General features: G+C 44.5%; 1 protein-coding gene and 1 long non-coding RNA gene across 7 annotated transcripts in view, besides 5 other annotated features; one reads left to right on the plus strand and one right to left on the minus strand.

Moving 5' to 3' along the window:
• Positions 1-11,745, minus strand: part of MECOM (MDS1 and EVI1 complex locus) — a 580,206-nt gene extending 568,461 nt beyond the window's left edge. For all 6 annotated transcript variants that reach the window (NM_001205194.2, NM_001366473.2, NM_001366466.2 and 3 more), the window contains exon 1: positions 11,369-11,745. Coding sequence is in view for 5 of the 6 variants with exons in the window: in NM_001366473.2 (NP_001353402.1) it covers positions 11,369-11,405 (37 nt within the window). In the remaining variant the exon portion in view is untranslated. The remainder of the gene's footprint in view (positions 1-11,368) is intronic.
• Positions 980-1,149: an enhancer, noted in NCBI's record as "experimental_66711 CRE fragment used in MPRA reporter constructs". NCBI's record gives its function as "activates a minimal promoter by MPRAs in K562 erythroleukemia cells, with activity observed for both the introgressed and non-introgressed 3:169370820 variant alleles {active_cell/tissue: K562}" and the evidence as "EXISTENCE:reporter gene assay evidence [ECO:0000049][PMID:34662402]".
• Positions 7,138-9,195, plus strand: LOC124906301 (uncharacterized). The gene is made up of 2 exons (XR_007096153.1): positions 7,138-8,089; positions 8,869-9,195. It is a non-coding gene; the product is annotated as an uncharacterized LOC124906301 (long non-coding RNA).
• Positions 8,827-9,547: an enhancer, noted in NCBI's record as "NANOG-H3K4me1 hESC enhancer chr3:169378582-169379302 (GRCh37/hg19 assembly coordinates)". NCBI's record gives its function as "activates a minimal SCP1, AML or CMV promoter by ChIP-STARR-seq in naive H9 embryonic stem cells {active_cell/tissue: H9 hESC(naive)}" and the evidence as "EXISTENCE:reporter gene assay evidence [ECO:0000049][PMID:30033119]".
• Positions 10,637-10,736: a silencer, noted in NCBI's record as "silent region_14873". NCBI's record gives its function as "represses an Ori minimal core promoter by ATAC-STARR-seq in GM12878 lymphoblastoid cells {active_cell/tissue: GM12878}" and the evidence as "EXISTENCE:reporter gene assay evidence [ECO:0000049][PMID:35858748]".
• Positions 14,666-15,182: an enhancer, noted in NCBI's record as "H3K4me1 hESC enhancer chr3:169384421-169384937 (GRCh37/hg19 assembly coordinates)". NCBI's record gives its function as "activates a minimal SCP1, AML or CMV promoter by ChIP-STARR-seq in naive H9 embryonic stem cells {active_cell/tissue: H9 hESC(naive)}" and the evidence as "EXISTENCE:reporter gene assay evidence [ECO:0000049][PMID:30033119]".
• Positions 17,146-17,647: an enhancer, noted in NCBI's record as "OCT4-NANOG hESC enhancer chr3:169386901-169387402 (GRCh37/hg19 assembly coordinates)". NCBI's record gives its function as "activates a minimal SCP1, AML or CMV promoter by ChIP-STARR-seq in naive H9 embryonic stem cells {active_cell/tissue: H9 hESC(naive)}" and the evidence as "EXISTENCE:reporter gene assay evidence [ECO:0000049][PMID:30033119]".

Raw genomic sequence — 25,312 nt, forward strand, 5'->3', positions numbered from 1 at the left:
TCATTTAAAAATTATTGTGTATAAATTTTGTAACAAGAAAAATATTGTGTATAAGACAATGAAAAAAGATTGATAAAAACTTTAAGATGTTTTATAATAAACATGCTAAGGTGAATCAAGTCTGAAAAAATGGTTGAACCCCCATTCAACCATTTAGAAATTTAGAAATCCATGAGCTGCTAAAATTGTATGAAAATGTTTCTTGCATGTGTATTTTCTGGAAAGAAGCTCCATACTTTCTATGAGATTCTCACAGGAGTCTGGGACCCAAAAGAAGGTCATGAACTATGACCCTAGCCAAAACTAAGATAGCTATTCCATCCCTCCATTCGTTTTTATTATCATTTTATCATGAAACATTTTATTACTAATTTCATAGTTCCCACCAAAGGTAAAGTCTATGCTAAGCATAAAAGCTGTGGGTCTTAGTCTTACCCTCACTTAGAGGAGTTCCCATTGACTTAGGAGCAGTCCTAAGTGCACAAGAAACCATATATGGCTGTTCTCGGTAAAAGAAAACTCCTAACAGGCACTAAAAGCCTGTAATCATTCAGGACTTGAGGATAGTTGTCCAAGACACAGACAGTCCTATTTTCTCTATAGAGATGGTTGATTTGTGAAATGACAGATGGGGGTTAGAGGAGTGGGGAGGGGCAGAGAAGAAGAAGTCATGTTTGCACTTGAATTAAGGGAACAGAGTTGAGTGAGTTGGGTTAATTTAATCAGTAAAACAAGATTCAATACATTATCTATCAACCTTAAATTGTTTGAAAGAAATCTTTAATCATAAAAGTGCATTTAAATATACAGCAAAATGCTTGACACCATGCTCTATATTAATAGAGCATAAATATTAGGCAGCAAAACTGCCTACATTGGTGTTAGGATTTAGGTAAAAACTTGGCTTCTGATGACTTGTAAACTGAATATTCCCAAATCCCTAGGAATTACATGAGTCCACAGAATGTTTTACCATTTCTACCTTGACTCCTTTGACATTCTCCAGAATCAGGTCTAGTACAGAGTTTAAGATCAATAACAATTTGTGATTTAAGTGAGGGGTCATGGGCAATACCTGCACTGGCAAAATGAGGGACATTATTGGTGAAAATTAGGAATAATACTCCACTTTCCAGGTGGTTTATCACTGTCAAAATAGGTCAATTGTGGATTTAGTATGCACTTGAAATGTCAGATATCCCAGAATTCTGGTGCCGACATTACTTAACTGCACAGGTTTTACAGCCAAAGAAATTGAAGGGGTTCACATAATCCACCAAAGCCCATTGCTAACCACCATCACCTAATCATATTGATATCTGCCATATGCAAAGCATAGTATTAGGCCCTATACAAAACAGAAATGGGCTCTCCAGGAGTTTTACAGTTTACCTAGAAAAATAAGATATATACCATGAAGACAAGCAATTTATAATAAAATGCCAAAATGATGATAAAGACAATTCCATACTATTGGAATGAAATAACATAGAAGTCATATCTCCAGGAGAGATCATGAAGAAGCAGGAGTTCAAATGAAATCTTAGAGGAGTTAGATTTTGACAGTCAGTGTACAGTATGGGTAGATTTACAAACTATGGCAACATTATGGCCAAAATTTGGATGGTAGAAACACAAGAGTAGGCTGATAAGAGACTGAGAGGTACAGAATGAGTAAACAAGGTAGGCTGAATGGACCAGTCTTGAATAAGACAAGCCTGAAAAGTCAATAAAATAATGTATTGAACTCTTATTCTATTTAAGGCACTCTAAATGCATTAGTTTGATCAAATCCTCACATGAGGTAAGTACCTCTAGTCCACAAGTAAGGAAACTGAGGCACAAAAAGGTTACATGGCTTGCCTTCATTTCAACCAGCTAGTAAATGGTGGAGCCAGGATTCAAACCCAGGCAAATCTCACTCCCGACCTGTACTCAGGAGTCACCACATTCTTCTGGCACAAAAGTAGAGCCCCTCAACAGCCAAGCTAAGGAATTTGAGATTCAGCATCAGGTATAAAGATTGAGAATGAGGTGATAACTCATTGATAATGCTTATATGCATGGTTCATCACTACTCAGAATCTTCCTCTAAAAGAATTGCATTATCCGATGATATTCCCAACAATATTCACTGATAGTGATATGTATTCACTGACAAGTCCCATGACTACAGTATTGAGTTAGATATTATAAAGTGCTCAGTCAAATCTTTATCAGGAGAGTCCATTGTGTTGACATTCCATCACCACAATTTTTAATCCTAAAGACTTAATTTTACCTGTTATTCACCTAACACTTCTGCTAGAAATACAACTCATGATAATAAACAGAGCAAAGTATGTTTATTTTCACATGTTACCCGAACATATATGACCTTCCTACATGGAAAGCCACTCTGCTCAAATAAGACGTTCATCCCTTAAAAACTTATTTCTCCATCCTAGGTTCAGGTCTTAAAAATCAGTTGGGTTCCTCAGTTACAGATGTACAGGACATTACATCTGGACTCTCCTAGGAGGGCAGGGGTGAACTCTTCCTCTGAATATCCACAGTAGCCAAATGACTCCTTCTCCCACTGTGGAAAACCACAGATGACTGTCTCCTAATGATTTACTGCCCAACCCCCAGCCCACAAATCAAAGAATTGGGTTTAGTGAGAAATAAGAAAGAATGGTGGCCAGTGGATACAAGAAGGGGAGGGAATGCTTCAGTTTATTTTCTTAAGCCAATTAATGATGAAACGGCATGGAGGGAAAGAAAGACACAACATAGTTGTAAAAGACTATTTTTCCAGATAAATGGCCAGATATCAGATTCTGTAATAAGTACTTCCACCTATCAAAACACACACACACACACACACACACACACATATTAACTTGAGGTGGGGAAGAAGATATAGATCTTAAAAACACAAGGTAATATTCAAAAACCATTCTGGATATCACCATAAAATGAAACTTTGAAGCACCCTTGGAAATCAATGAATCTGGACATTGCAAACCCTACAAACTATATATTGCAGGCAGAGGTGTTTGGTTGGGCCTGCAGAATTTTTTAAAATTGAATCAACATTTCATAAAGTAGAGAAAACTTACATAAAAACCCAGATTTGTGGCTTCTCTTAAAAAGTGGAAGACCTGGCGGCCCTGAACCCCCTTGCCCAAATGGTAACAGTGAGCAGGAGCTGAGAAGAAGCTGCCACCTTTAGAGGAGTCTTGAACTGCCAGTTTCCCACCATCCCCGCCACTCCCTCTTGTTCTGAAATACAAAGGCTGGGTGTCAAAAAATTAAATAAAAATAGGAGAGAGCTTAAGGCTTATACCCACCTTGCTTCACTCATTTATGGTACCTGCAAATTTACAGGCTCTGCTCTAGTCTAATCCATTCATTTAAAGAGGAGCAACCCAGCTGCAGTAGTAAAGTGACTTACAAACTCAATCCACTAAAAGTCAAATTTTCATTCAGGAGGGATTATTGCCTAATGATAACTAGAGAGTATGCAAAACTAAATTAGGGCTGTGTGGCTATACAATGCCAAAATCTGTGGGGAAAAGTTGAAATCTCAATCATTTTATTTACACATCCCCCTCACCCCGACTCCAAATAAAGGGCAAAGGAAGATGCTCAAGTTTTCAGAACAAATTTACTGCCTAGTTTGGCTTGGTATGGACAGTTTTAATGTGCCCAAATTTTAGATATGACTTCCCTTCATTCTGAGGGCATAATTTATTGAGAAGACATACAAAATGCTTACCGTAGACATGTAAATACTTTTAAAAAGGAAACTGGATAAAAACATTAAACAGGAGGGGAAAAAAAAGGATGTTTCTTCTTCAGAAAATTTAACTGATAAATTATAAGGAAACTGAAACCCACTAAGATTTATTGAGCATGTGCCTTAGGTACTTTGCACACATTATACCAATTAACTCTCACAGCAGCCCAAGGAGGGTAGTATTATTACTCCCACTTCACAAGTAAAGATGCTAGGCCTCAGAGGCATTCAATAACTTGAAGAGGACCTGACTTTTCAATCAGGGATCATGCCCAGATTCAAACACTGATGTGCACGTTTGTAATGCTTGTGAGAGTAGGGAACATGGTTTGCCCGTGCACAGGGCCTAGCACATTGATATTTGTTGTGTAAGCCTGCCCATCGCCAAAGCACAAAAACTGCCATGTACAAGCACTTTCATTCATAAATGTCATCATTTGAACAACCTTGACATATACAACTAATTCATTTAGGCAGGTTCTTGAACAAGGTTTAGGAAATGTTGGTTCTTTATGTTGTGTAGTTAATGACCCCTACACACATGTTTACTAACATAATAAAATCTCTTTTCTAAATAAATTTCTCCTTTAGAATTGTTATAAAAGTCAGTAGTCAAGAATTTGGCTGAATATACAAGCCAAAAGCACGTTTGCTAATGAATAAGAATAATAACTAAAATCAAAATAAGAATTAATTCAAGAATGAGTGCTTTTGAAGAGTCAGGAATTTGATTAAAAATTCAGTTCCCTTTTTTTCCATAATGAAACAGTTCTTTAACCACAAAACAGCTTTTATAATAATGCCGAAGAGTATGGTTCCAAGCAAAACACTCCCCCATTTTAATCATGGCTATTATTTTTGAAAATGAAAATGACTGAGGTCATTGTAATCTATTTTAGGGTTTGCATGGGTTGATGGTATTTTTGTCTTGGCTTTGAGTTCTCCACATTACCCACTAAATGTTATGGGCTTTACCGTGTGCCCTTTCAAATCCCATTCTTTCTAATAACATTGTATTTTATACACATAAATTAGAGTAAATTCCACTTTCTTTCCTAACAACTCCAGATGTGGTCCACACTTTCAAAAGGACTAGAACTTGCCTTAAAAAAAATTCAGTATGTACTTCTTAGAACAACTATGTTTCTATATAGATAAAAATGCTGTATGGATGTTTAAATGCTGAATAATTAGTAAAACCATAGGACTTGTGGTTTTTTCACCAAAGTGAAATATGAAGATAATATCTATATATTTACTCCTTCCAACTTACAAGGACATACACAGATAAAAAATGCCTAGAAACAAAACCATCTGGGCAGAGTTCTAGACCTACTGATACCAATAGGGAAGGGGGATCTGTATTCAGACAACCATTTAGAACACATCAGTGAGGCTCTCTGTCCCCTGTAGACCCAGTAGACAAAATTAACAAATATCTAAATACACTAAAGTTACACAGTCAAGGCTCCCTTTAGACGCAGTTAATATTTCACTTACTTTCTGAACTTAGTTGGGGTTTTTATTAAAATTCGCTATCACGATCCCTCTAGGTAACCCCTACACAGCCACACGTGAGAGAATGGCTTCACAATACATACAAATTGTGGAGATCTGGCTATTAAAATGCCTTGAGATCTGTTTGTTTATTTTTTTAAAATCAACTTGCAAGGCCAATGTAATAAGATGCTGTAGCTTTTATGAAAGAGGTGAAATAATTTTAAACACAGACACACAATGAGTTTATTTATTTAGAAACTTGTTAAATAGAGTCTGGGAATTCAAATATTCAATGTTGACATTGTACAGAATTGGCAAGAAGCCAGAACCCAGTCTCCAGAGGGACCCATTGGACAAGGAATTCAGGACTTTCTCTCCTCCCACTTGAGCTAAATAGGTAGAAGCCATTAGTTATACCCACAGCAATATCTGAACCACACTCAAATAAGCTGCCCCAGCCAGGGCACTTCAAAGGAGGCTAAGTGTGTTTAGCTTTTTAGTGCTGAACTAGAGCAATATGTCACACTTTTGAAAGAGTCTTGTAAACAGTTTCTTCCCTATGTAGAGACATCTCTGAAGTTTCTTGTATGGCTTGTAGTAAGCAAAGGTAATTAACAAGGATTATACTTTTTTCATTTCCTGGAGGGGCTGGGGAGGATAATACCAATCTGTGTGCAAACTAAGGATCTGGAAGAACTACACTATTTCTCCCTTCCTGTCTCCCTCTCTGGTTTTCTGATCGATTTGTCTGTCTCCTCTTTATCCTCTTCCTTACACTTGTTCTCACTATACAGCCAATTTCCTTGAAAATTCCCTGGTAAACTCTGAAGGCCAGAAGAGTGGGAAGGGGGAAATCTAATTTTAGAAAGAAGACCGTGGCTAGTGGAGTGGGGAAGTCGGGAGGGAACTAATGATTTATCCTGCGCCGTCCAGGAGAAAAGAAAAGCAGACCCCACAGACCGTTTTAGAAAATGCCTAGACAGCGGCTTCCAGCGGAAGAAGGGTTAACCGTCACTCCAAAAAAATGTACCTGGCATCATCAGAGTGTAACTTTTCCCTCCCACCCCATCTCTTCCCCAAACTCACTCTCCCTTGCCCTATGAGGCTAGGAAGGAGCCTGTCCCAACAGGGAGAGTGAATGAGTGAGTGTGTGCCTGCCCTCCGCGCAAGAGTGCTCCTTGTCTTCCTGAAGCCAAGACGTGTGTGGGTGTGCACACGCATGTGTGGGTGTGAGTTTACACTGTCAATGTAAACCCAGCTCCGAGGGAAGCAGCGCGCCAGGCACGCAGCCCCTCTGAGACTAGAGAGGGAAAGAAGAGTTCTGGCCAAACCTTGGAGCCCTGAGCTGAGCAGCCTGAGGAGCGAGGTGTAGGGGGCCCCCTGAGTGAGAAACTGCCTCCCACCTCACTGGGGCTTCCCCAGTCCCACCCCCACGTCCATCTTGGGCCACTTCCTCAGCACCAGACGGTTTTGAGATGAAGCGTGGGAGGGCTCAGCTCTTGGGAACAGGGCTCTGGGTGCCTTGGGAACAGGGAAAAAGCCGGTGACCAGGAGATGACAAGTCAAGGTTCTCCATCTCACCGCCCGCTTCCAGCGGAGGCAACGCGCAGGGGGGTGCCGGGAGAGAGGGGGCCGAGCCGGGCGTGCCGGGGGCAACTCCGCTCTCTTGTCCTTCTAGCCCGGGGAGGAGGGCGTCCCCCCTTCCTGCCCCAGGTCACAACTGCAGCCTCGGATAACCTGGCCCCAACTTACAAAAATAAAATAAACTCCCAAACAGTAACATGCTTAAAGAGAAATTGCTTACGACTCCTCACCTTCAACTCCAAAAAAAAAAAAAAAAAAAGAAAGAGAAAGAAAGAAAGAAACCAAAATTCGTGGAATGACATGTTAATTTCTAGTCCTACATGTTGAATGTCTGTCCCTGCAGGAAGCCGGCCCCAGGGCCCAGGGGAGGCCTTGGCTCAGAAAGCCTGGGAGCTGGGCTAGCCGGCAAAAGTCACACTCACTCACATTCACACACACACTCACATGCACTCTATAGCCAAGACCTGCAACTCTGCAGTCCCTACAAATAAAAAAAGAAGCCTTGCTTTTTAGCCTTTCTGCCTCTACAGCTAATGAACCGTTCCCTTCCACAGTGCTGGAGATGAGGGAAGAATGAAAAGCGTAATTAACCTTCCCCTAAACACAGATTTTTTTTTTTTTTTTTTTTTTTTTTTTTTTTTGCAAAACACATCAAAATACTGCAAGAAGACTGTGCTCCAAGTGCCAAATGCAATAAAGAAGCCCTAAGCCCGGGTAATGGTCAAGTAATAGCAAATAAACCGCCTTCCTAGAAGGGGCCTCGGCCTCCGTTGGGAGAAGGATTTTCCTCCTCAGAAGCAATCTGAAATAAACAAATAAAAGTATTTTTTAAAACAAAGCTCTGTTTTCATCTGAGTTTCTTAAGGATGAAGGAAAACCCAAGTAGGTGGGCATACAGAGAGTAAATGCCTGAATCTGGGTGTTGTGTTTGTTGTTGTGGGGGGGTTGTTTTGTTGTGTTTATCTCAGTTACTGGGCTGACAAGGTGAGTAGTTTAAGGACGGGAGAAAGGGTCGGCATCTACCTTTCCTACTTCAGAGCCTTTTTTTAAACAGAGAGCAAGTGTAGGAGTAACAAGTGCCCCCCTTGCCGCGGTCTTGCTAATCGCATCGCCTTTTGAGACTTTACGAGACTTCTGGGGGGCCGGTAGCTAAGGGAGTTACTGGATGCAACTCGTTCTCTGCTGTGACTGAATTCCCGCGCGTTGTCACTTTGGGGAAGTAAGGTAAGGGTGGCTTCGGTATTTCAGGCTTTAGACATGCTGCGCAGACCCAACCTGCACTTCCTTTCCATCCATCAGGACCATAGCAACTGGCATTTCTGGCACGGCCCAGGTGCTGTCCTAGCTGCCCAAGAAAACGGCTGGGAAGTCTCCCCGCGCTGCCAGAGTCGGTTTGGCTTTTGGTTTTCTTTTCTTAAAGATGGAAATAAAATTCAGGGGCGTTAGGCACTACAAATGTCAATCTTCCTGCCTTTCATTTTATTTTTAATTAAATTTTTTAACCTTCCCAAATGATTTACAACGAATTTATCGGTTTCAACTACTGTATAAAATACAAGCCTTACAAGTTGCAAACTGTGTTGTGCATTCAATCTCGGTGTAGATTCAGTGGGTATTTTCAGGGTCCGTGGTCTCTGGTCTAGGTCCATGGGCTCCTGTACTGTAGTCAAGGCCAAATCAGGACTTAAGACCACCAAAGAAATTTACAAAAGACAAAAAGAACAACAAGCTACCGAGAAAACAACTATTTATATGTAATTTGTTTCCATTGTAATGTTTTCTCTTGCCACAATAAAGGTAGTTTTGTTTTTTAAAGTATTGTAGTCACAACTCCCCTTCTAAACCCAGAAAAAGAAAAACTGGTGCAGAGCAGTGAAGTTTTCGTTGGATGATTGCACCGCAGGGGTCACCAACCATCTCCGCCACGCGCTACTCGGGGGAAGGAAATCGCGCTTTAAAATACAAAAATCTGTAGTTTTAATATGATTTCCTTTATTACCCAGATTGTAACTGAAGAATTGCAACGCAGCGCTTCTGTCTGGGAAAGGCAGCTGCGGCAGCAACAGCTGGAGTAGTGCAAGCGGGAATCTGAGGCTCAGTAAAAGTTTGTAAGAGTTGAGATCTAGCTATCAGAAAGCGGCAGCGGCATCCTTAGAGACCCTGGGGACAAAATAAATGGGTCTCCCACCAGTTGAATGACAAGTATCATCAGATCGGAAACGAGGCTCAGTTTCTGGATGCTGAGTGGACTGTGCGTGCGGGAATATTTTAAGACGGCATCGTATGTCTTGCTTGGCAATTAAAATAGTTGAAAAAGTTGCTCAAGAAAATTCGAAGGGTTTTGTGTTCTGCTTTCACTTCAGAAGTTATCGGGCAGTGAGTTGCGGCGCGAAGCCTTAAGCTTTCACTTCACAACTTAGGCATGGTTGAAAAGGGCTACCCACCCCCACCCACCATCCCACTCCCGCCAACTCCCCCCCCCACACACACACTCTCTCTCTCTCCCAACCTTTAGTCCAAATCGAAGCCCGCAAACCTCAAGTATATGTACATTTATTTCCCTTCAGATGAAAATAAAGACATCGGCCTCATTTAAAAGCAAACAGGGAAAACAGTTCCACCGGCGCCCTTTGACACTGTAGCAGCGAGTGTAAAGAACAACACCCAAAAGAGAAACAGATGGACTGATGACCCAAAGAGCCCTATATTTAGGTTGATTTCTCAGACCCAGGGGAAAGGAAATGTATCGGGGAGTGTACGAGTGCTTGGGTGAGGACTGCACAAAGCACTGGAAAGGCGCCTGGGATGACAGCATCTCGCGGGGCTACACCGCCGACTCCAATGCCCGCGAAGCCGAGCCTGCTGAGGTGCCGCCGACTTCCCGGGCTGCTGCAGGGACGCAGTGAGCAAGGAGGCGTGGATACGATACCTACCGTATTTGGTTCTAATGTGCGAGGGTCGCGCGGGGGGAGACTGGGATTTCACTGGGGAGAAGCATCCCACCCATCTCCGATCTCTCATTTCTGCGTTCCGTAAACAACACAATTAGAGAGTTTTGTTTTCGGCGAGTGCGAGTGTGGGAGAGAGAACCGCGGCCTGTCCACTCCCGAGGCAGCTCCAGCCCCGCCTATTGACACCTCAAGGAAGAGCGCTCCCAGCCGCTCCGGGGCTCAGTGTCCCTGAGTCCCCTTCAACTCGAAGTAGAAGCATTTGGACAAACGCAGTCCTGTCGTCTACAGTCCTGGCGGAGCATCACACCGTGTGGGAAAGTGTGGGCCCCGCCGGCAAAGCCAGGCGAGTCATCCAACACTTTTGCTGTAAGAGTGGGGGATGGGACTCCCACCGCCCCCTCCCCAAACCCCTTAGCCCACATCCCGCCAGACCAAGGCCGCTCCGCGCCGGGCAGGCAGGGGGCGCCGGGGAGGGTTATTGACCCTGGACCCAGGCTGCACCCAGACGAAGCGCCGGAGGCTGCGCTGCGCCCTCTCCGCGGCCCAACGCTCTGGCAGCCCGCCCCCTGGGGTTTGCTCGGCGCCCAGCAAGCCCGAGGTGCGCGGGTCGCAGCGCGCCCTCTCTGCCTCCTGCTCCTAGGCTGCCGCCGCTGGCTGTGTGCCCTCCACTCCCGGCTCTCCGAGCGCTCGCTGGGCCTCTTCTCTCCCCACGTCCGAGCGCTCGCTGGGCCTCTTTCCTCCCCACCTGCGCGTGGCTGTGCGGAGCCGGTAGCTCTGCTCTGCCCGTGCCCCCGCCCCCACCCCGCGATCACAGCCCCCACCTTGGTGTCCCCTACTCCCCGCCGCAGTCCTCCCGCCGCGCAGCGCCGCGCCGGAGAGCATGGCCGAGCGCACAGCGCCCACTACCGCAGCCGCGGCTCGGCGCAGTCCACCCGCCCGCCCGCGCAACTTCCAGCGGCCGCCTCGCAACTTTTCCCAAGTCCACCACAGCCGCCCGCCGCCGCCGCCACTGTGGCTCCCTCTGAGCCGCCTACCCTACCCAAACCCCAGAAACAAACCGAGGCTCGAAAAGGCTCCCTTCTCCTGCCGGCCCCCCATCCCCCGCGCCCCCCTCCTCCCACACCCGGGACTAGCTGGTTGGCCAGAGGCAACTCTCCCCCGCCTGGGGGGAAGGGGAGGGGAGGGGGAGACTTTCTCCTCTTCTCTTCCCCCCCACCCCACCCCTTCGCGCTCACTCTCGCGCTCTCTCCTCCCTCCCACCCCTAGTCTTTGCTGCCCCCACCCCCACCCCCACCCCGGGGTTGCCACAGCTGGTCGGTGCGCGGGACTGAGGGCTGCCCAGGCTCCTCCGGCGCCCAACCCGGGAGCGAGAGCGCGGGCGACCGGGAGCAGAGACTGGAACCGGCAGGTTGCTGGGGCTGCGCTCCGCCTGCCCTCCACCCGGGGCCCCGGCGCAAGAGGCAGCCCGCGCTCCCTCCCGGAGCGCTAGAGACAGATATGCAAGATGGCAGAGGAGGGGGAAAAGCCAATAGAAAAGGGATATTGCACCTACTTGTGGCCAGTTTCCTTGCCCTGCCTTTGGATCTCATGCTGTGCCCAGTCCTGCAGCCGCTGGTGTGTGGTTGGGGCTTTTTTTTCTTGGATCCTTTCCTTCTTTTGCTCTCCCTCTCGCTCCCTCCCTCTCTCTCCTGTCTCTCTCTCTCTCTCTCTCTCTCTCTCTCTCTCTCTCTCTCTCTCTCTCTCTCTCCCTCCCTCCTGTTTCTCTCCTGTTTCTCTCTCTCTTCCACACACTCACTCTCTGTATTTTCTTCTTTCACTCTCTCTCCCTCCCTCTCTCCCTTTCTCTCAATCCACACTCGCTATCTCTCCAGCATTGTCAGTTTGGACACCTTCGCACATGCGCGCTAGACGCCCCTCCAACATCTCAGCGCCGCCAAAAAAAGTTTGGAGCGATTTATCACTTTGATTTGGAGATCTTGTCAGATGGCAATCGCCGAGGAGGCGGAGAAAGGGAGCCGCGGGGAGGGCGGCGGGGGGCGGGGAGCGAACGCAGGGAGCCAGAGGGGAGCAGACACCTCGCCCAAAAAAAGGGGAGGGGGGAATTGAAAAGGCTTGGGCAGAGGATTGATTCCATGTTAGAATCGCCAACAAGCTTGTATCATGATTATTGTTATTGTTTTTCCCACCATAAATTGCAGACATTTTTCTATACCATCTACGAGGGAAGCAAGAAGCCAGGGGGGAAAAAAACTTTAAAAACATTTTTTAAAAACCCTTCTCCTGTTAAAGAACTAGAAGGGCTGGACCCTCGGCTAATAATCCAGGAGAAAGTGAGAATCATCCTGAACTTGAGAAATCTACTGCTGCCGCTGCTACTGCTACTGAAGCTATTGCAGCTTCCGCTTTCAGGGTTGTAAGCAGAATAAATAACTGGTTTTTTCCTCGATTTTAGCTGTAATACCAATGCTTGCTGCCATCCTTGGGACATTTCAGTATTCTTTCCCTACCAAGTAGTAATGATCACCCTTGATTCCCGGGTCCGGGCCGGCGCTGGCATTTGACATCCAAAGACCTCCTGCTTTCTCAGAGGTCGGCTGTCACCTTCCGGCCTCCCCCACTGCTGCCCCGGTCGCCTCCCGATGCAGCTCTGCTTGCCTGCCATTTTCACTCACTCGCTTAAACCTACAACCTCGGGGTCAAAAGAAAGAGGAGTAGGGAGGAAAATCACACACTCTTAAAAAAATACATTGTTGAAATTTCCTTTAATTACAGGATTTACCAATGAAGTGCCACTCAGAAATGGGAATTCCTAAAGGGGCTAGCTGTGTACAAGGTATGAATCAATCCCAACTAGGTATAGATTTTCTTTTGGTACAACCTTCTTGCATTAAACAGTTTTGTTCAATACCTTCCATGTGCTATTTATGTCCCCATTAATATCTGTTGCAAATCCTGCCAGACACCATAAAAGAAAATTACAATCTTTTCAGTCTCCGTGCTGCAACAATACATCCTTGATGTTCAAGTTAAAGGAAAAGAAAAGCAGGTCCTGGGCATGAGTTTGGCAAAGGCTGTGGAGGGAAAGGGGAATCATTGAGAATGCCCAGTCGTACCTGTTGGTATTTATTATCAAATCTAGGACTGCAGACATGAGAGAGCAAATAACAAGGTTCAACCCCAAAGGGTATCAATGGCCTGCAAATCTCTTTATTCAAGAGAATCAAAGTTCAAAGAATTTGTCCTTGTTAAGGATGCCTACCATTTTCCTTTATCCAGAGCTGTGTAATTCTGGGGGCATTTGGCTGTAAGATAGAGGTCCCTGGAGAACCAAGCTACAGGTCTCAAGGGAGACAGATGTATAAGGTTGAAATGTGAGGAAGGGAAGTAGGAAGGTAAAGGAGGGAATTACTCACAACAGGAGTAAAACAACTTCCAAAAGAGAAGGCTCTAGTGCCCACACGCGTGGGCACAAGAGAACTCTATTATCCACTCTGAATTAAAGAGGCACCTGGGTTTTTTTCCAGACCTAGAATTCCCGCTGTCCTGTGCATAAAGGTGAGTGTGCTAACACATTTGGTGTGTGCAAAAGCACCAGCCATTCCAACATTCTGTTAGGTTCACACAGGTCTTTGACTCTGAAACTTCCCCCAAAATGTGACTCCACCAGCTTCCCTCAGTTTAGATGGAGAGGTGCCTACCCTCTGACCAGCAAATGTCCTCCGAGGAAACGGAGAAATGGGTCTTGAGAGGCTTTGGAAGGGGGGACAAAATCTCTAGGGAGAGACAAACACTAGGCTGACTGGCAAGAAGTTCATAAGGCTGCTTCTGATCGGTGTAAGAGACTCTCTAGGGACCATCCCCTAGGCCAGGGGACAGACCAGCAGCACCTGAAGATCCCAGCTGTCAAAATCTAGGTCTTGTCCCTCCAATCCTCACCTTCCCTGCCAGGCACCCCAGGGGTGGCTGAGCACCTTGCCTTGGTGCCCAACCGCCAAGGTAGCTTAAAAAAAAAAAAGAAAGAGAAGAAAAGAAAAAAGAAAAGAACCGCCATCCTCCCCTCCACTCCTCCGGCTAATCCCTTTCACCTCATCCCCAGGGGGTCTGTCTATGTCTAGGTTCCCTTGGAGACGGGAGGTTAAGAGGGGTGCAAGAAATGTTCCTAGGAAAGGAGGGGACCAAGGTACCAAACTCTGAGATTAAATGCAAGACCCACATGTGAAGCTGAGCTTGCTGTTGCTGCTGAGAAATTATAAACCACGTGGAGGGTTGGGGAGGTAGGGGGTGGGTTCTGTGAGGGGAACTGGGTGGGAGGTGGAAGACTGAAGTGAATCGGAGTCTCCGAACCTCCAAATTTAAAGGTCCCCGTCTTTTAAACTTTTCTAGAAGGGGGGTTGGCGGAGTGGGAGGCGGAATGAGGCGCGGCTGGAGTACCCCTCCCCTTCTGGTTTGAAGTCTCCGCTGTCGCTTCAGCGCTCCAGCTTTCTCCCTGGTCTTTCTAACAGTTTCGGGCCACGAGAAAATCCAACCCCTTCTAACAAATAATAAACGCAAACTCTTCTCTGTCCCCAGACCAAGCCATTGTGAAAAGACAAGACATCGTCTTTTAAATAAATAAAAGTATTCTCAATATCATTCGTTTTTTATTTTCAAACCTAAAAGCTGGGCTTCTTTTCCTTTTCTCTCCTTTTCTTTTTCTTTCTTTATCATTAGCTTTCTGCCCTAAGTGTGCGCTAATAAAGAGCTAAGTTGCTAGTTCAAGTGTGTTTAACCTGATGGAGCAAACACCCAGCAGCAACCGGTCGCGCTCGCGGCTGATAGCGCCGCGACCTCTGCGCGTCCGCCCCGGCCGGTTCCCATTCTCAAGTGCCTGGACCCTGTCACTTCCACCTGTCCCAGTCCCAGCCGTGAGACCAGAGCAGGTGACTGTTCAGCAGCCCCTAGAGTTCCCGACACCCTCTGACGGGATGTCTGAGCTGTCGCTGGCCCAAGAGAAAAGAGGCCTCCAACAAGTTGGCGGAGCTGCCCTAGCTACCCGCCCCCACCCCACCTCTCGCCTTTCCCTCTCCTCCTGAAATTCGTTTTCTTGGGGGACAGTAGCATGCATTCCAACGTTTCCTTGTGTTTTCTCCCACGGAAGCGAGCATCCTGGAAGCAGTGCCTCGTTGGAAAGTCGATGGGTTTACAGACTGTCTGGGTTTGCTTGTTTTATTGCTGTCACTTTTTGTTTCGTGTTTTTGTTTGTTTAGCAGAAGTGAAGAGATTGAGATAGAAGTTAGAAGGAAAATGGGACATTGATGAGAAAGACACAGACAAGTATATCCCTTCCCCAACTATATTTTTTAAATTAATGTTAGAAATGGCAAATAACCGATTTTCAATACATTACATGCAACAGGAAGTTTTCCTTTCCTCTCATTTTAATTGAACCGGCCCCACGGTATCTTTGGAAGAAAGTTTGAATTCTTTATGGAGGTATTTCGAGGCCTATTGTCTTTGTGCAGTGAACTTTACATCATGCTATTCAATCACAACCTATATTCTCCTGGCTACCAGCAAGATTAATTTAATCATTGTAATGCAATTATTAATACTGTTTACCCAATGCTGGGTTTCAGGTTGGCTGTTAAGAAATTAAACTCTCGCTGGGTGACCAGAGCTAGGCAGGGGTTTCTTCATGTTGAAATGAAACAGTCCTCTTTATTTAGTCTCAGGGCTCCAGCTTTCGGCCACCGGCTCAATTAGCCAAAATGGAAACAATTTTCATTCATTGCAATAACTCACTGTTCTGGAGATCGCTTTCAAAATACACACTTTATTATACGCTGACCTCGGTGGCGTGGAGTGGCAATAAAAGAAAGAGGCAGGGAGATCTATCTAGCCCCCTTGGGCTATAATTATTAGAAATTAATTGGGTTCAGGACCCTGGGTAGCCTAGCTAAATTAATAGCTTGTCTAGTGGTTTAAATCCGAATTTTCAGTCCACAGGAGAGAAAGGGAGAGAGTCACAGACATGAAATGCAGACCCAAGGGACGCCTGAGTTTACTTGCAAGACACTCATCTATTAAATAGTGTCCAGAATACATTTGAGTTGAGGAGGGGGGCTGAAGTAGGAGGGAGCAGGGGCGACAAGAAAGAATGGAGCAAGATGGGGAGGGAGGCTGAGAGTGAGCGAAAAGGTCTCGAGTTGATTTTATTCGATTTTTCTTGTCTGCATTGTTTTCGGGAGGGGTTGCATTTAGGGGTTAAAATAAAAAATAAAGATCCTGTGTACTCGGAGCTGTCGTGCCGGAGTAAAAGTGAAAAGGGAGCCTTAGGCAAAAGGAAATTACTGCGAGCCCGCGTGACCTTTCAGGGAGGTAATCAATCAAGTGATCAACAGGGATATTTATCATCGCTATATAGGACTACTTCGCCCTGCACAGGCGGGGTGGGGGTGGGGCTGGGGGAGCGAGAGGAGGGTGGAGACACGCGCGCACTCACACACACACACTCACAAAAGTTTGAACAAACCTGATAAGCCTCGAGATAGAACACGTAGGCTTTAATGTTAAAGCTACCTGATTTGTCTGACATTGTCAGAGAAATACACACACATACACATATAAGCACACATCCAGGCAGCAGCGGCTGCATGAAGGTGTTAACTTTGAATGATCCGCCACGCTTTGCCCTAAAAGGGAAGCTTGCAGAGAAATGCGCGCTTTGAACGCCGGCGAGGCGACAGCTCAGGGCTAGCTCGGCTTCCACGTCCAGCCAGGGAAAGGGAGCCACGGGCCGCAAAGGGCGCGGGGCGGCTGGGGGCACCCCTCTCCACAGCGTCTCGACGCCGGGGCCTGAGACACGGAACAGCCTCCTCTTCCTGCGAAATCCTCGCGCTGCCGGGGCGGCATGGCACAGCGAGGCGCGCTCGGGACCAGCCGGCTCAGCGAGTACGCGCAGCTGGTGTTCGGCGGCCGGGCGATTTCTGCCCAGTTACCTTCTCTACCTCGTAAAACTTGCCGTTTTGTAAATTGCGTTTTCGGTCCCAGATTTCTTAGCAAATCATTCGGTTTTACAATCCTACTCCCTCCCCCTAGTTCAACATCCTCCCATCCAACTTCTGATGTGTATATAAGGTACGGGGAGCAGGGAGCGGTCAGGGTAGCTGGCTTTTAATAATAATGACGATGATGACATTAAATAGTCGATTTAAAATCTGGGCCCCCGCCCCGCTCGGGAATTATAATCAGCAGTTCTTTGGAGAGAACGTCGGGCTGATTACTAGCCCATGGGGTTGAAGAACCATTTCCCGAAGGGTTTATGAAACGCAGGTTGGAGTGATGCGCGCCGCCTCCCAGGTGGCGAGCCTAGGTTCCTGCAGTGTGGGAATGTGGGGCCGCGCCAGGGCCGTGCCTATTGGCACCAGGTGCTAAGCTCGCGGTCCCCCACCAGCCGCTCTGGCCGCCCTCTCCGGGCTCGGCGCGGCCTCCTCCCGCACAGCCTAGTCTGCGGCGCCCTCGCCTGGTTTCTTTGGCCGCGGCAGCTCTGGTGCTCACGCCGCTTAGGGCTCCAGCTGTGCACAGTAGCCGCCTGGGCGTGGGGGTGGGAAACAGCTGGAGCGCCCCGGGGAGGCGCGGGTTGGGGTGGAAAGGAACCCAGCAAGGAGGATTATGAGGCGAGCAAACTCCTGGAGCTGCTACCGGTTTAGAATCAGGAGGAGCAACTTCACGGGGCACGGAACTTGAGCTCCGGAAAGAAACCAGACTGTTCCTGAGCGATGCCCTGGGAAGTTTGGACCTCTTGGGGTCCCTTCCATTGAAAAAAGAATTACTTGGAAGAGTATTTCTCAAAGTGTAATGTGCATACGAATCGCCTGGGAATCTTGTTAAAATGCAGATTCTGATTCAGTAAGCCTGGGGTGGGGCCCAACATTTCTCAACAGGCTCCTAGGTGATGCAGATGCTCCTCGAAGTGTAGTCGCAGACCAGCAACATCAAGCATCGCCAGGATTTCAATAGAAACTCAAGATCTCAGGCCCCAACCAAACCTACTAAATCAAAATTGACATTTTAACAAGTGATTCACTAGAACGTTGAAGTTGGAGATGCACTGCAATAGAATGTGCCTGGCCAGGTTTTCTTTCTTCTGTCTTAAATCAGGACGCCTCTGTGATTGAACTTCATTTCAAATCCTGCTTTCTGCCGTGGTCACGGGAGAGGATGGAGTCAACGAACCTATCCACGTAAACGCTACATCTCCTCTGGCCCACTGCAGAAACCCTAGACTAACATGCATTGACCACTGAGCTTAGGGGCCAAATGCCACCTGCAAGGCTTCCTTGATTCTTGTCTGATTGACATCTCTTCCAGCCACTTTCCTCAAGCCCCCCTCACCCATTCAGTATTTTGCTGCCAAGTCTATGGCTTTTATTTCTCCCTCCTTACATTACAGTTTTTTGTTTACAGATCTTCCTTCCCCTTTCAGCTGTGGACATCTTGAAAGAGATTATGCCTTATATTCTCCACTTTGTTTTTTCATCTGCAGCATGGAAATAGGCATTTCTTCCCACATAGGATTAATATATAAAAATGCTTTGGAAGCCATGGTTGCCATTGTTAAGAAAAGATGGCAGTATTCAGATTTCAGGGCCATTATACCTTAGATAAATTCTGGGGTCACAAGATTGAGTTGAAACACCTTAAGTATCAAACCACTGGAGGTACAAATCCCAGTCCTCCCTTTTACCAGTTGCATAACTTTAGGCAAATTATTGAACCTCTCTGAGTCCCAGTTACCTCCCCTGTATTATTAGAATAAGTATGTACATCTTGCAGAATACTTGTGATAATTAAAGACAATGTATACAAAGCACCTAGTATGGCGCCTGCTACATAGTAGGAATTTAATAAATGGAGCTATTTAGAGCTCTAAGCTCTAACATTTCATAGTCGGCAAAATAACGAGGGTGTGCGTGTGTGTGTGCATGTCTGTGTGTGAGAGAGACAGAGAGAGAGAGTCAGGGGTCTTGGATACTGCTCTTCCCATTCCCATCTGCAATAAGATAGTTGCCTTTAGTCAGCAGACTGCCCCTCAAGTAGCTGAAGCCTGAGGACTTTGACATACATAGAACTGACTGGTACAATTAGATATTAACATTTCAGTTTAAATGCACATGTGTGTGTGTATGTGTGTGAGAGAGAGAGAGAGAGAGGAGAGAGAGAATGGTTTTAGCTATGGTTTTTGGTTTGTTTTTTGTTGTTGTTGTTGTTGTTGTTTTGTTTTGCTTTGTTTTGAGATGGAGTCTCGCTCTGTCACCCAGGCTGGAGTGCAGTGGCACGATCTCGGCTCACTGAAACCTCTGCCTCCCGGGTTCAAGCAATTCTCCTGCCTGAACCTCCTGAGTAGCTAGAATTACAGGCACACACCATGAGGCCCAGCTAATTATGTATATTTAGTTGAGACATGGTTTCGCCATGTTGGCCAGGCTGGTCTTGAACTCCTGACCTCAGGTGATCCGCCTCCCTCGGCCTCCCAAAGTGCTGGGATTACAGGAATGAGCCACCATGCCCGGCCCCTTAGCTATGTATTTTTAAGGGATTCTTGTGTGCTTGTGCTTTCACAACTCAGTTTCATATAAGTCAACACTACACTCAGTTCATCTCGTACAAGCAGAGTCCTGACCATCTCCCAGTCAGCCTGTGGCAGCAGGACCTGGGCCACATGCTGAGGGCTGGTGAGACTCACTGACAGAGGCATTGCTCCTCCCGTGGCCTTAAGATTGCAAGAATTTCTGCACAATATATACAAAGTCAGTATTTGAAGATGTGTAATGTTTTTATATTACCATATTCTCTCCCTGTGAGATGGAAGCCACAAAGACAATTCAAAGAGAAAGTGGTTTTCAATGGAATAAGCGCTCTTTCTCTCTTCTTTCTTTTAAAATTATTTTTACATGCTTTTAAATTTGTTCAGTGTTTCTTACATTTTCACTTCCATAAATTTGGTTGTTGCCCATACTTTCAATACATGAAACTATTTACTAAGTCTAGATTCCTGCCAGGAAATAAAAGATTTGTAAAATTAACACCTACAGGACTTTTAAATTCTTTACTCAAACAAACAAGTGATTATGGTTGACATGAGAAAATATAGACATAAAGCAACTTAATTTGCTTAATATACTTTTAAACTTACAAGTATAGCAGACTTTCCACATCTTTTTAAAGCACAAACTTTAGGATCCATGCTGAGACAGCTTATAAATGAGACTTCCTTGTAACAAGATCCTCAGTACTCAATAACTTAATTCCCTTGACTTAGGTCCAAGCTAGACCTGGCAACCCTCAAACTCTGCTATGGAGTGAAGTCCTATAGCCATGACAGAGTGTGATACAGGTGTGCCCTGCTTTATGAAAAGCCACATCACAATGTGATTATTCGCTTCATGCTATTTTATTAAATAATGAGTTCCCCTGGGACATTTAAAATATGATTTGACTTACAAAAATCTGATTTATACTCACTTTCCCCAGAAACATACCTACTGAGGTAAAGCTATGTTTTTAAAAATGATGATGCATGTCCCATAGCAAATGTTTTATAATGAAAAGTCCATTTTCAAAGATTAAGACAAGGGAACATACCACCATTCTGGGGTTGGGAAAGAAACAATTTCTGTACAGATCAATTGTACACAGAAGAAACTGTAGGGCTCATTAATTGAATTATCTACTTTGAGGGCTCATGTAGATATACTAGAAACCAGGAACATGATAAGATTTGGACTTCAAACATTTTAGAAAATATAATGCTCTTATACTGGGTTTTGATAGTAAAGTGTTCAAATCAACTTTATAAACACTCTTGAAAAATACACTTTTTGAAATGAGAAGAATTTTCTGTTGCATAGAGAAACTGAAAAATAATTCTAGGGCTAGGTGCAGTGACTCATACCTGTAACCCCAGCACTTCGGGAGGCTAAGGAAGGAGGATTGCTTGAGCCCAGGAGTTTGAGACCAGCCTGGGCAACATGGCAAGACTCTGTCTTACAAAAAAAATTAGCTGGGCATGGTGGTGCACACCTGTAGTCCTAGCTACTTGGGAGGCTGAGGTGGGAGCCTGAGAGTTCAAGACTGCAATGAGCTATGATCACGCCACTGCACTCCACCCTGGGCAACAGAGTGAAACTCTGTCTTCCAAAAAAAAAGAATAATTCTAAAATTTGTCTGGGCTTACACCCATTTAGAAGTAATAGTTTATCAGCAAAAAATCACCATCTAACTCATATCCAGGTTTTCACTTAGCTGTTTGACATTGAACTGGAACTCTGAAATTGGATACATTGGACTCATAAAGATATATGCTATTCTTAAGGGCTCTAGGAGACAGCTTCAATTCTAGCTGCAGTGGAAGCACCAATGCAGAGAAGCCAAGATAGTGAAGATATTTTGATGCATCTGTTTCTGTTCTGTTAATGCTTGGCTGAGATTTTCACATTTGTGTCCAAAATTTCTACAGAATCAACTATCATGCAGGTTTCTTCATTAAACCAATTGAGCAATCTGGTGTCTCTTGTGCCTCCCAGAGTGGGGCAATATTTAAGCAGGGAGCAAGGGCTACTTAGCTACAGGAACCTCCTGTTCTAGTCTACCCTACACAGCACTGCCTGCTTAACTTTCCTGAGGCACTATTCTGAAAGTGTCTTTCTTCTATGACAAGTTTCAAGATCCCTCAGTTATTGTCAAGATAAAGCCCCAAATTTTTGCCTCTCATTCAAAGGTGTTCTACACTGGGGAAATAGCAAGAGAGATGGGGAAACATGAGATGTGCACCAGAAGCAGCAAGGACTTTAGGCAGCCTATGTTATGGAATTCAAGAAGGGACTTATGGGAAATATGTTTGGAAAGATAGGTTGGACACATGCCACAGAGGCTTGGAATGAATGGCAAAATTTTGAGGCTTTATCTTGAAGACAACTGAGAGATCCTGAAGATTCTGAATAGGGGAATGACATTATCAGAATTTGCCTTAGGAAGATAAAGCAGGCAGTAATGTGAATTACACATCCTCTTCACATGTTCAGACTACCCATCTTTTGAGATTCAAAACAAATATCACCTCCTCCCCTAAAGTTCTGATATGTTGTTTCAAGTGGAAAAACAATCTCTCCCCATCACAATCACAATCTCCTATGGCATCTTAGTTTTACATGTTGGTTTTGTCTGTATCTCTATGATCTCTCTTCATAGGCTATAAATTCCTTGAGGGGATATTTATATCAACTCTTCTTGTCTTCCACTGCTAAGGCATATTTTGCTCAAAAATTGTACTGTCTAAATGTAAGGATTCTAATTTTTAAACAATTTGAGAAAATCCTCAACCATTACCTTTTTAAATATTGCTTTTTCTTCACCCTCTCAATTCTTTTTTCCTGTTATCTGATTAGATATATGTTAGATCTTCTTGCTCTATCTTCTGTATTTATTAGCCTCTCTTTCATAGATTCTCTCTATTATCTTGTGCTTACTTCTGAATAATTTCCTCAAGTTTATATTCAAGTTTTCTAATTCTCTCTTTCTCTGTATCTAATAAGCTATTTAAACTGACGATTAAATTTTTTATCTTAATTATTTTTTAAATTTCCATAATTTATATTTGATTCTTTTTTAAAATGTGCCTGTTATCTTTTCACACTGTCTTGTCTTTTTTATCTTACAGTTCAGTTCTTGGGATTTTTTTTGTTTTTTGTTTTGGTTTTGGGTTTTTTGTTTTTTTTTTTTTCCAGACAATCTTGCTCCGTTACCCAGGCTGCAGTGCAGTTGCATGATCTCAGCTCACTGCAAACTTTGTCTCCCAGGTTCAAGTGATTCTCCTGCTTCAACCCCCTGTGTAGCTGGGATGACAGGAGTGCACCATGATGCCTGGCAAATTTTTGTATTTTTAGTAGAGACGGGGTTTCACCATGTTGGCCAGGCTGGTCTCGAACTCCTGGGCTCAAGCAACCTGCCTGCCTCTGCCTCCCAATGTGCTGGGATTACAGGCATGAGCCACCGCACCTGGCCAGGTTAAGTTTTTAAACATTTCAAATATATTTATTTTATCTGACAGCTCTATTATCTGAAGTTCCTAGGGATTTTTTTTTCTTTTTTTTTTGAGATGGAGTTTCACTCTTGTTTCCAGGCTGGAGTGCAATGGCACGATTTCAGCTCACTGCAACCTCTGCCTCCCAGGTTCAAGTGATTCTCCTGCCTCAGCCTCCCTCAATCCTCCCAAGGGATTATAGGCATGTGCCACCAAGCCCAGCTAATTTTGTATTTTTTGTAGAGACGGGGTTTCTCCACGTTGGTCAGGCTGGTCTCGAACTCCTGACCTTAGGTGATCCACCCGCCTCAGCCTCCCAAAGTGCTGAGATTACAGGTGTGAGCCACCACGCCTGGCCATGGGATCTTTTTAATCCTTCTGTTTGTTGTACCTACTAATCATTACTCAGAAAAATTGTTTTGCCATACTTTAGAATTTTAAGTTGTGAGTTCACCTTCAACAAGATTTTCTCTGTGGAAATCATGTTTAAAATTACTTGACATATCCTTTCACAATGATTTTACCTTTGCTTTTGTTAGATGCTTCAGTGTTATCAATTTTTTCACTAATTTATCAGCCTGGCTTTTCCCAAACTATGGAGGAAATGTAATTAGAACCACAGATGTAAGTGATAGTAGGCCTGTTGGAAAGAATTGTCAGGGGACACTTTTTTTTTTTTAACCCAGAGGCCAGATGAGATAGAATCTTCCTTATTTCTTTTTCTAGTGAGCTGATGATTTTCTAGACCAGCATTTCACTGATTACGTAGCCCTTTGAGACCCAGATTTATGCAAGGGTATCAGTTTTTATCTCCCCAATTCATGTTGGGCCAGAGCTTTATGTCCTAACTCCATGAGAGTTTTGAAACCTATGCCCTGAATTCTCAAGGCTCTTGTCTCCCCTTCCACAACCATAGGCTGCCAGGATTTTGATTCCCATTGTGTTGAGCCCCAGAGACTTTCCTTAACGTTTTTCAAGAGCATTGATTAGTTTTTAAGCAGAATGCCTCAGTGGTTTGTGAAGGGAAGGATTGCAGATTATTTACTCCATAAAAACACTGGGAAGCCTAGACCTGAAAATACCTGTGGTGATTTGCTGTTAGTGAATTTCAGTTGCACTTTTTTCTTGAATCCTTTTATTTAAACGAAATATCTGACTCCCAAAACAAAGGCAGAACTGAGTGTCACCTATAAGTAGAATCACAAAAATAGCTTTTTCACATGTTTTTGATCAGCCTAAAATCTTTTGTTCTACCTTTCTTCACTAGTCATCAAAATCATATTCAGCCTTCAATTGTCGTCTCAGATTCAGTGTTGTCCCTAATGTTTTCCATGATAATAATGATTATATTAAACCAGTGGTCAAAGTGAAAAATACGAAGAAGAATAATTACAGAACAACAACTATTTATTAAGTGCTTACCCTGTGTTAAGCATTATACTGGTATTTTGCATATGTTACCTTATTTTTGCAAATAACTCTAAGACATTTTTAACCTCAGTTTACTGGTCAAGAAACTGATATTCCCAGAAGTTAAGTAACTTTTTGAGGTGGCTTAGCCAGTAGTACATTGAGCCACATTAAATTGCTGATAGTCAACTAGTTTTTTATCCACAACAAAGTAGTTTTGCATGGTTCAATCTAACAAGTGATGAAGGTAACATTCAAATTAAGGTCTGACCAATTTCTAACCTCATATACCTCCCTTTAGACAACACGGCCTCTTCACCATGCTAATTATTCCTTCTTGTAGGTTATCATAACACTCTTTTTTTTTCTTTTATTATTATTATACTTTAAGTTTTAGGGTACATGTGCACAATGTGCAGGTTAGTTACATATGTATACATATGCCATGCTGGTGTGCTGCACCCATTAACTCGTCATTTAGCATTAGGTATATCTCCTAAAGCTATCCCTCCCCGCTCCCCCCACCCCACAACAGTCCCCAGAGTGTGATGTTCCCCTTCCTGTGTCCATGTGTTCTTAACACTCTTATACTATCTGTCTTCATTCAGTTTCCTCATTTGACCCTCAGTTACAATAAAGCATATACATCTGTTTTCTCCAGTGGATTGTAAGCTCCTTGAGGGCTCTTCCTTAGCTCTGTATCCCAGGCCCTTTGCACAGAACTTGGTACAGGATAAGTCTTCAGTATGTTTTTTTTTTAAATAAACTAAGCTAGGTTATTCAAGTTTTAGTCAATATTTATATGCAGCTAATGTGTTTTTAAACTTTACTCTTTCACTTCTTCTTTCCTAGTGGCAGTTTCATAACATGATCGCAAATGTTTTGACATTCTTCCCATCGAGACGTGGGATCTATCTATGACTCCTTTACATGAATCTGGATGGGTTTGTGATGGCTTCAACCGACAGAGTGGTGCAGGGTGATGTTAAATGACTTCTAAGGTTTGGCTATAAAAGCTCATGCAGC

The sequence above is a fragment of the Homo sapiens genome, chromosome 3, assembly GCF_000001405.40.
Source record: "Homo sapiens chromosome 3, GRCh38.p14 Primary Assembly".
Classification (NCBI taxonomy): Eukaryota; Metazoa; Chordata; class Mammalia; order Primates; family Hominidae; genus Homo; species Homo sapiens.